Genomic DNA, 11,517 nt, shown 5'->3' with positions numbered 1-11,517 from the left:
GGAATTTGAAATAAAATATTTGGGATTATCTGTTTTACTTGCCTCTGTGGGCAAGGAATTCAATAATTAAAAGTTAAATCTATGCTAAGATATACTATATATAAACTAAACAAAATAAAACAGAGCATTGAAAGGTCATGGATGAGATTCCACAGTCATGGCTGAAAAGGTAGATATCAACAATTGAGCAGGAGCACCTCACTGGTCTAAACACAGCCACTAGCAAATGAACAGGAGAAGAGAGTTAGAGATTGTGTTTAGAACAAAAGCCTTTCTGAAACTGCAAGGGTTTGTTTTCTTTCTTTCTTTCTTTCTTTCTTTCTTTCTTTCTTTCTTTCTTTCTTTCTTTCTCTTCCTTCCTTCCTTCCTTCCTTCCTTCCTTCCTTCCTTCCTTCCTTCCTTCCTTTCTTTCTTTCTTTCTTTCTTTCTTTCTTTCCTTTCTTTCTTTCTTTCCTTTCTTTCTTTCCTTCCTTCCTTCCTTCCTTCTACTAAGGACCAAAATTAAGGTTTCCTTAGAGTAGTTTTACAACTCTGAAAGTACTGATTGTTCTAAAGCCAAACCTTGGTTACTTCCTCTGCAATCATCACATTGAAAGATCAACAGATGCATGTTCAGGAGGAGGAGACATTCTCAGATTGTAGTTAACTTGGATCACAAGAAGGGGTGGGGGCACTGGTGTCCTGGGGCAGCACACTTCAGGAGCTCAGGCACAGTCCCCTTGGGCATGCCCCCCCAGCATGGCTGCATGCCCTGGAGTGAGTAGATCCTTAGTGTCATGAGCAAGGGCTTTTCAGTTTCAGAAATGAGAAGGTAGGTCAGAGAGAGCTTAGCCATTTTCGCATTTCTCTCTGTCTCTGTCTCTGTCTCTCTCTCACACACACACACAGACACACACACACACAAACACACACACACCACATTCACAAATCTGCAGTTGCTTTGAGTGGGGAAAACATTTTATTTTTATCATGTAGACATGGCCAAAATGTTCTCAACCCATTAAAAACTTGGAAGAAGATGTAGCCCCTGCTACAGAAATACCTGTTCTTTTTATTCCTCAATGGAGATAACTGCATACAAGGGTCCTTAAAATGATATGACTGGGATTCAAGTCTCTCCTTAGAATAATTACCTGTTCTGAAGAAAAGGAAGACATGTTACATAAGGAAAGCAACTTCAAGCTTCCTGTGTGGATCGTTATGAAAAAAGTGCCTGAAGAGGACACATCTACTCTAGGTAACGAGAGACTTCAGTTTAAGTTCCAGTTCTACAATGCACTGGCTATGAACGGATTTACAAAAAATCTTTCTTAAACTGTTTCTTTATCTATAAAATGGGCACACAAAAGCCATTTGGCTACTTCCCAAACTTGTCATGAGAATCCAACGTAGAGCACTATACAAGGCACATGAAAGTAAAGCAAAAGTATAGAAAACTACCTAGGGTGAATTAAAAGCAAGTCTGTGCCCAGTTATAGCTTAGTAATACATAAAAATTGTTGAAAAGCAAAACTGACATTTTGCTCTACCACAGTGGGCTGAAACCTTGAATATATACAATGTAGTTCTAGGGAAACGAACTTTATACCTGAAGATAAACATACAAAAAATTTCTCCAAACTGAGTTACTTGTCTACTACCAGTCTACAAAATAGATAAAACCAAGAACTTTTTCTGTGAGTTACTGACTGTCTAATAAAACAACTTTATTCCTGATTTTACAATCCAGATATATATGATAAGCCTCATAGGTACTAATGTAGAAATTCTGTGTTTTTATTACATTATTATACTGTAAATTCTGGGATATATGTGCAGAACGTGCAGGTTTGTTACATAGGTATACATGTGCCATGGTGGTTTGCTGCACCCATCAACCTGTCATCTAGGTTTTAAGCCCCGCGTGCATTAGGTATTTGTCCTAATGCTCTCCCTCCCCACCCCCAACAGGCCCCAGTGTATAATGTTTCCCTCCCTGGGTTCATGTGTTCTCACTGTTCAACTCCCACTTATGAGTGAGAACATGCGGTGTTTGGTTTTCTGTTCCTGTGTTAGTTTGCTGAGAATGATGGTTTCCAGCTTCATCCATGTCCCTGCAAAGGACATGAACCCATTCTTTTTTATGGCTGCATAGTATTCCATGGTGTATATGTGCCACATTTTCTTTATACAATCTATCACTGATGGACATTTGGATTGGTTCCAAGTCTTTGCTATTGTGAATAGTGCCTCAGTAAACATACGTGTGCATGTGTCTTTATAGTAGAATGATTTATAATCCTTTGGGTATATACCCAGTAATGGGATTGCTGAGTCAAATGGTATTTCTGGTTATAGAGCCTTGAGGAATCACCACACTGTCTTCCACAATGATTGAATTAATTAACACTCCCACCAACAGTGTAAAAGTGTTCCTATTTCTCCACCTCCTCTCCAGCATCTGTTGTTTCCTGACTTTTTAATAATCGCTATTCTAAATGGCATGAGACGGCATCTGATTGTGGTTTTGATTTGCATTTCTCTAATGACCAGTGATGATGAGGTTTTTTTCATATGTTTGTTGGCTGCATAAATGTCTTCTTTTGAGAAGTGTCTGTTCGTATCCTTTGCCCACTTTTTGATGGGGTTGTTTTTTTCTTGTACATTTATTTAAGTTCCTTGTACATTCTGGATATTAGACCTTTGTACATTCTGGATATTAGACCTTTGTCAGATGGATAGATTGCAAACATTTTCTCCCATTCTGTAGGTTGCCTGTTTGTTCTGATGATAGTTTCTTTTCCTGTGCAGATGCTCTTTAGTTTAACTAGATCCCATTTGTCAATTTTGGCTTTTGATGCCATTGCTTTTGGTGTTTTAGTCATGAAGTCTTCACCCATGCCTATGTCCCGAATGGTATTGCCTAGGTTTTCTTCTAGTGTTTTTAAGATTTTAGATTTTAGGTGTAAGTCTTTAATCCATCTTGAGTTAATTTTTAGATAAGGTGTGAGGAAGGGATCCAGTTTCAGTTTTCTGCATATGGCTAGCCAGTTTTCCCAGCACCAATTATTAAATAGGGAATCCTTTCCCCATTGCTTGTTTTTGTCAGGTTTGTTGAAGATCAGATGGTTGTAGATGTGTAGTGTTATTTCTGAGGCCTCTGTTCTGTTCCATTGGTCTATATATCTGTTTTGGTACCAGTACCATGCTGTCTTGGTTACTATAGCCTTGTAGTGTAGTTTGAAGTCAGGTAGTGTGATTCCTCCAGCTTTGTTCTTTTTGTTTATGATTGTCTTGGCTATGCGGGCTCTTTTTTGATTCCATATGAAGCTTAAAGTAGTTTTTTCCAGTTCTGTGAAGAAGTCAATGGTAGCTTGATGAGAATAGCATTGAATCTATAAAATACTTTGGTGAGCATGGCCATTTTCATGATATTGATTCTTCCAATCCATAAGCATGGAATGTTTTTCCACTGGTTAATGACCTGTCTTATTTCCTTGAGGAGTGGTTTGTAGTTCTCCTTGAAGATCTCCTTCATAACCTTTGTGAGTTGCATTCCTAGGTATTTCATTCTCTTTGTAGACATTGTGAATGAGAGTTCACTCATGATTTGGCTCTCTGTCTATTATTGGTGTATAGGAATGCTTATGATTTTTGCACATTGATTTTGTATCCTGAGACTTTGTTGAAGTTGCTTATCAGCTTAAGGAGTTTTTGGGCTGAGACGATGGGATTTTCTAAATATACAATCATGTCATCTGCAAACAGAGACAACGTGACTTCCTCTCTTCCTATTTGAATACCCTTTATTTCTTTCTCTTGCCTGATTGCCCTGGCCAGAACTTCCAATACTATGTTGAAAAGGAGTGGTGAGAGAGGGCATCCTTGTCTTGTGCCGGTTTTCAAAGGGAATGCTTCCAGTTTTTGCCCATTCAGTATGATATTGGCTATGAGTTTGCCATAAATAGCTCTTATTATTTTGAGATATGGTCCATCAATACCTAGTTTATTCAGTGTTTTTAGCATGAAGGGGTGTTGAATTTTGTCGAAGGCCTTTTCTGCATGTATTGAGATAATCATGTGGTTTTTGTCACTGGTTCTGTTTATGTGATGGATTACATTTATTGATTTGCGTATGTTGAACCAGCCTTGCATCTCAGGGATGAAACCAACTTGATCATGTTGGATAAGCTTTTTGATATGCTGCTGGATTTGGTTTGCCAGTATTTTATTGAGGATTTTCGCATCAATGTTTGTGAGGGATATTGGCCTGAAATTTTCTCTTTTTGTTGTGTCTCTGCCAGGTTTTGGTATCAGGATGATGCTGGCCTCATAAATGAGTTAGGGAGGGGTCACTCTTTTTCTATTGTTTGGAATAGTTTCAGAAGGAATGGTACCAACTCCTCTTTGTACCTCTGGTAGAATTTAGCTGTGAGTCCATCTGGTCCTAGGCTTTTTTTTTGGTTGGTAGGCTATTAATTACTGCCTCAATTCCAGAACTTCTTATTGGTCAATACAGGGATTTGACTTCTTCCTGGTTCGGTCTTGGGAGGGTGTATGTGTCCAGGAATTTATTTCTTCTAGATTTTCTAGTTTATTTGTGTAGAGGTGTTTATAGTATTCTCTGATACTAGTTTGTATTTCTGTGTGATCAGTTGTGATACCCCTTTTATTTTTTTTATTATGTCTATTTGATTCTTCTTTCTTTTCTTCTTTATTAGTCTGGCTAATGGTGTGTCTGTTTTGTTAATCTTTTCAAAAAACCACCTCCTGGATTCATTGATTTTTTGAAGAGTTTTCGTGTCTCTATCTCCTTCAGTTCTGCCCTCATCTTAGTTATTTCTTGTCTTCTGCTATCTTTTGATTTTGTTTGCTCTTGCTTGTGTAGTTCTTTTAATTGTGATGTTAGGGTGTCGATTTTAGATCTATGTATCCTTTTAATTCAGTGATCCAGTCCTTGAGAAATGTCCCCAGCTGAAGTAAGGAAGCCATCCTTTGTACCCTCTGCATTGACCACCAATAGGTGGGCTTCCCCTGGAAAGCAAGCATGGTTCAAAGTAAAGCAGCTCCCTTGTGTGGAGGAAAATCCCCAGGGAGAAACACAGCTGTGGCGCATCAGCAGGCAAGGCTTCTGGCAGCTGAGCAAACTTATGCTTTAGTGCTAGAGTGGGATTCAGGAGGCACATCGCAGCGACCGCTGTAAACAGTTCCCCAAAAGTTGGATTACTGATGAAAGTATGAGTTTATATTGCAATATAGGTTAGCAAATTATGTTTCTTAAATGTTGTATAATTTGTACTTCCATCAGCAACGTATGAGAATGTCTGTTTCCCTGAATACTCCCCAGCACTTGGTATTATTGCTTTTCCAAATATTTAATGATTACATACTCTTGTTAATTTAAACATTTCCGATTATTGCTAAGTTTGAATATCTCTTTATTGGTGATACTTACTTTTGCCTTGGTAATATTTTTGTGCATGTATGTGTGTGCCCTGTACTCATTTTTCTGCTGTGTTGTTTCTTTGTATATAAATACCATTAATTGATTGTGAATTATGGGAGAGTTTCTTAAAATCTGTTCTCCATTTTGTTGCCTGGGCACACGGCTAGAGCACAATCCCCAGTCACTTTTGCAGTTAAGTGTGATTATATAACTAAGTTCTGAACAGTGGGTTTTCAGCGTAGATGTCTTTGTTATGCCTCCTAGTTGCCTTTTATCGTCTTTTTCACTGGACACAGATACTAATGGCTATGGTGGAGCTTTGAGATAGTAGGAGGCTGGGTCCCTGAATCACCATGTGGGGTAGCTGTCTGCAAACTGTGAACCCCTGCTCTGGACTATTAGATGAACAAGAAATAAACCTCTTTTATATTTGAGTTACTATACATTTTTGGGATGTACTATTTGTTTTAGCAGTTTAGCCCACACTAATACAGCTGTATTGTCTAATTTCTTCTTAGTCCATCATATTTATTTGACCACATATCATGGTGTATTTAAAGGCTCCCTAGAGAAAAATGCACAGGCAACGGAATTTGAAAAGGGAGGCCGGAGAAGCAGGAGGGACAATAGGATAGTGCAACATTGTAGAAGCCAAAGAAAAAAGTATTTCAGGAAATAAGCCACGATCAGTCATGTATCATACTGTTGAGAGGCTAGGCAGGGGCTAAAAAATGCTTGATGATTGGTTCAGTGCAAAGATGACTCTGGAGCCAGGATTCCAGGACAGAAGTATTGGAAAGCTTTCCTGTGATGAAGGCACCTTAATATCTGGGAAGTGAATGCTCTAATAAATGTCTGTCTTCTGCTAATGAACTTGCCAAATGTGTAAAAAGTCTGGAAGTTTCCCACCCATGCCCTTGAAGAGCAGTAAAAGCACTGTTCAATCTGAAGTATTGATCCACACATCTCTGCAGGCCTAGATATCTGGGTGATTCCAGCTCATTCCACTAGAATTCATCTGCAGGCAGGTCCTATGAACCACCATTAATACTCTTAGAGAGCCGCGTTGGCCATTCACAGCTGAACTAATGGTGCCCTTCGCAGAAGGCACAACATTCATGAGCAGTAAGTTCTTGCCTACTACTCCCCACTGTCTGAACATGACATATCGACTTTCAATTTTTCACCTACACTTTATTCAACTCTCTTGTTTTCTCAGGTAAGACTCTAAAAATTACTTCTAGGAACAGAACATTCTGGGTTACTGAATCTCAGGACACAAACAAATTATCTTGCTTACAAGAAAAAACATGGTAAAACTTTATTGCACATCCCAGTTAATGGGTTAAAATAAGAGAAAACATATTTTGTTGGTTTCTTCCTCTTTTGTTTTTTTTGAGACAGAGTTTTACTCTGTCACCCAGGCTGGAGTGCAGTGGTGCAATCTCGGCTCACTGCAGCCTTGACCTCCCGGGCTCAGGTGATTCTCTCACCTCAGCCTCCAGAGTAGCTGGGACTACAGGCACACACCACCATGCCCAGCTAATTTTTTGTATTTTTAATAGAGACAAGGTGTCGCCATGTTGCCCAGACTGGTCTCGAACTCCTGGACTCAAGCAATCCACCCACCTTGGCCTCCCAGAGTGCTGGGATTACAGGCGTGAGCCACTGCGCCTGGCAAAGAAAATATATTTTGATTAATCTTTTAAATTAAATGACCATAGAGATAATTTATCCACCATAAAAGTGAGAGATGAAAAGAGATTCAGACATGTCAAAAGACATCAATACATGTACTTATTAAAAGTATATGGTGCTGTGCTTTAAAAACCTGGAACTGAAGGTGACTTTTCTAATTACCTATGACATGTGAAGTCAGTTGTCCCTAATACATTCAGAATGACACATTACGAATGAATAGATATTAGAGCTTTCTGCTCTGCTGCTTATAGAAACATCTGATGAAGGACAAGCACTTGGATATGTCACCTATGTCTTAAGAAAAGAAAATGAAAAGATAGTTGGAAAAGGTAGAGTCATTCTATGCTTCATGTTTTTAGTAATTCTGAGCATGAAATTATTTTTTGAAGAAAATTTCTTGTTTCTTATTTTAAAATATGTAACAAGTTTAAGCTACAGAGTTAAGAAGCTTCAGTCTTACTTGATTCAAAACGCTTATTAGTTCCTGGCAATTAAACAGCATACGCACTATCCATTTTAAGGTAATTTATCTCTAGTTTCTTCTTAGGAAAATATTTAGAAAGCCATATAGAATTTAGTAGTAGAAATGAAAATAGGGTCTATTATTTTATTTCTGCCTGCCCATTATATACTATTGAGGCTTTAAAGCATCTTTTTTTTCATAATCAATTTTATAAATTACTCCTATTCATTAGCAAACAGATTAAGGGAATATTCACATTTTGAACAATGGAAATTCTCCAGAATTCTAAGACACTCATTTATTCCATATCATTTTGAATGGGTTACATACAAAGTTGTTTTGTTTTTGCACCTACAGTATGAAAACATAGAGATCCTTAATGTTATCAATGATCAATGTGTAAACAAAAATTTATGTTTCCAGATTTTATGGCTGTCCTGCACATTTAAGTAGACCTTTGTGTCTGCTGAGTAGAATGTCATGGAAGGGGAACCCATGATAGCCTGCTGAGTCTAGATCTCACACATGTATTATGTTGATAAATAACTACCATCCTCGGAAATCCACTGCACTTAGTCTCTCCTTCTCTTGCGGTGATTGCCACACTCTACTTTGTTTTCTTGTTACTGCCGAATGTTTTCTCTCCCTCTCTGGAGCATGAGTTCTTCCAGACAAGCCTGTTTTTCAGTCTTTGCTGCATCCCCCAAGTGTCCTGCTTGTAGTTGGCTGTCAGCACAATTTTGCGGAATAAATGACTTCCAAGTGATGTAAAGCATGTTCCACTTGGGTTTTTTTTTTTTTTTTTAAAGTTAACCTGGCTGGGCGTGGTGGTTCACGCCTGTAATCCCAGCACTTTGAGAGGCTGAGGCAGGCTGATCACAAGGTCAGGAGTTCGAGACCAGCCTGGCCAGCATGGTGAAACCCCGTCTCTACTAAAAATACAAAAAAATTAGCCGGGCATGGTGGCACATGCCTGTAGTCCCAGCTACTCCGGAGGCTGAGGCAGGAGAATAACTTGAACCTAGCAGGCAGAGGTTGCAGTGAGCCAAGATTGCACCACTGTACTCCAGCCTTGGTGACAGAGCGAGACTCCATCTCAAAAAAATAAAAAATAAAAAATAAAAAAATTAACCCATGCAAAATAGTTTTGGATATGAATAATTTCCAATGATTTCCCTAACAGATGTAGTAAAACACTGTTTCCAGCCCTAATTAATTAGACCAGGAGCAAGGCAGAAAACCCTGGTAAATAATTAGGCATTATTAGCTTCATCAACAGAGTGGAGGGAAGTTTACTTAGAACTGTAGGGAAACTTAACTCATGGAGCTGATTTTTGTCAATTTCCACATTGGTCTTTAGAAAAATCATGAGCAGAGTCGCACAGTATGCAGAGCTACTCTTCATGATTTGTGGTATTTTCCCTAAATTCTTTGCTAAAATATTAGTGGTGTTATACACAAACATAACAAAAATGCAGTCTGTTTTAATTTAGTATAATTCCTTCACATTTTTCTGCTCTCTTCTTGGTCAAAATATATCTCTGTCTCTATCTCTATCTCCACGTACTTGACTTTGTAAGCTCTCTTCCATGCCCAAATCCAGCATAGTTCCCTGTACTTTCTGAAGGACTTCTATAAATACTGCAACTAGTTGATTAACTATGTAAGAAGGCTTCTCAGATGTTGCTAGTCTCAAGTTTTACTCCCCTTATGCCTTAAATGCTGATTGTAGCACCACCTTTTGTAGAATAGAATCACGTGTGATGATGTTTTGAGAGAGACGGATACTATAATAAGGTTCTTTCTAGCACTTCTTATAAATAAATGCCATTGGCTGGGTGATAGCATTTGGTTCTATGTCCCTACCCAAATCTCATCTCGAATTATAATCCCCATGTGTCAAAGGAGAGACCCATAATGCCCACGTGTCAAGGAAAGGAGGTGACTGGATCATTGGGGCAGTTTCTCCCATGCTGTTCTGATAGTGAGTGAATTCTCATGAGATCTGATGGTTTTATAAGGGGCCCTTCCCCCTTCACTTTCTCCTCTCTCTCCTGCTACCATGTAAGATGTGCCTGCTTCCCCTTCCACCATGATTGTAAGTTTCCTGAGGCCTCCACAGCCATGCAGAACTGTGAGTCAATGAAACCTCTTTCCTTTATAAATTACTCAGTCTTGGCAGTATTTTTTTAGCAGTGTGAAAGCGGTTTAATGAAATGTGTCCTAATAAAGATGTTGCCATTTTATTCCATGACAAATTATGGTATAGTAAAGCTTTGGTTTTTTCATCATAAAGCCATTGGGATTCTTCCTGTATGACTGAAACATTGTTGTGTTGGTGGCCTTAAAACTACTTTTCTTCTGTTGTGTTTATTACATTTATAAGTTGTAAGGACACTCCATGGAATTCCAAGCTGTATGAATTTAGAGGTGAGCCTCCAGGAAGATAATTGATCACCAGTGGCTGTGAACCATTCTTTTGTGCATCTTTAACAGCTCAAAAGCTCATAGTCTCAGGCCTGAATGGAAGCTTGAAGGTTGAGTCACCCCACCTGATGCTTGAATAATCCAATTTTCACTTAACAGTCCCATCTTTCAAATATTTAAAGACATCATCATGTCATGCCTCCCCTCCCCAGAAACTCCTCCAAATCAGACTAAGCTAAAATTACATTATGGTCGATTAAAATGGTCGATTTTCCTTCATGTGATACAGTTTTAAACCTCTTCACCCATCTGATTGGATTTGGATTTGAATGCTAGCCCCATTAATTTATTATATATGTAAAGCTAGACATGTTTTAAAAATGTTTTGAACCTCAGCATTTTTTAACCTGTAAAATGGGGATAATAATACTAATAGGACTGTTAGGATGATTAACTCAAATAATCAATGCACATAGCTGGTACTTAGTAAGTACTCACTTCCTTCCCATTTTTAAAGTGATTTGTAGAATGCTTGTGTTCCATGAAGAAAGGTCTTGTGATTAAATAGTCAGAAAAATAAATAGAGTTAAGCAAGTTACTTAGATTTTCTAATTACAAGATTTCCAGAGCTTTTAACAGGATGACATGCTTTGTGAATCTCCAAATAAATATGGTTTGAAGCATTTCCCTAGTTTATTTGACCACAAAACCCTTTTTGAGTAGAACACAGAATAACATTTTGTGTTTCTCTGAATACAGTGTGAGAAGGGTTGTCCTAGTGGGATCTTTGGATGTGTTGCTTTGCCCCCTGGGCTTGTCTGGAAGTATGATTGTCCCTCTGGGTCCTAGGAGTGGCCCATGCAGGGAAATTTATTCTGAGCAAACACAAAGAGGGCAAATATTTTCCCTCTGCTTCAAGTAAGAAAATAGAGTCAGCAATGAGGCTTAGGTCTTTTTGTTTCATCTATGATGCTGAGGTATAGTCTTCAGGTTTGGGAAACTCTGAGGAATTACTGTAATGAAAATACTATGATAAATAAACTACTAGGAAGGAGGAAAAACTGAAGACATTATGTAGTGGGCTGGGCAGAATCCAGCATGCTGTCCCCTTTCATGAAATTAAATATTTCTGTTTATATGATGGAAAAATCTGTGCTGATTCATTCTCATTAAGGTTCTAGCAAGTTCATCAGAGAAAGTTTATAGAGACCTTGGGGAAAACTCAACAGGGGGGAGTTTCCTGTTAGGGGCTGGGGGTGGGGAGCGAGTATTTTCCCTTTATTGGGGTTTGCTTTGTTAATTGGTGTTTGAAGAAACCCCATTTCTTTCATAGTTGAAGCTAAGCAGAATTAATGTTAATTAAAAAATCATGTTAGCATTCCCAGAGCACATTCAAGCCATTAGTTGGGAAAAGCCTTGTCCAAAACACTTCTCTCATGGCTTTGTTTGTATGGGGAACTGACCGGTGAGGAGTTTCACCAGGACAAGAGAGGGAGCTGCC

Source organism: Homo sapiens, chromosome 7, assembly GCF_000001405.40.
Source record: "Homo sapiens chromosome 7, GRCh38.p14 Primary Assembly".
Lineage (NCBI taxonomy): Eukaryota > Metazoa > Chordata > Mammalia > Primates > Hominidae > Homo > Homo sapiens.
This window is presented reverse-complemented; position numbering follows the sequence as displayed.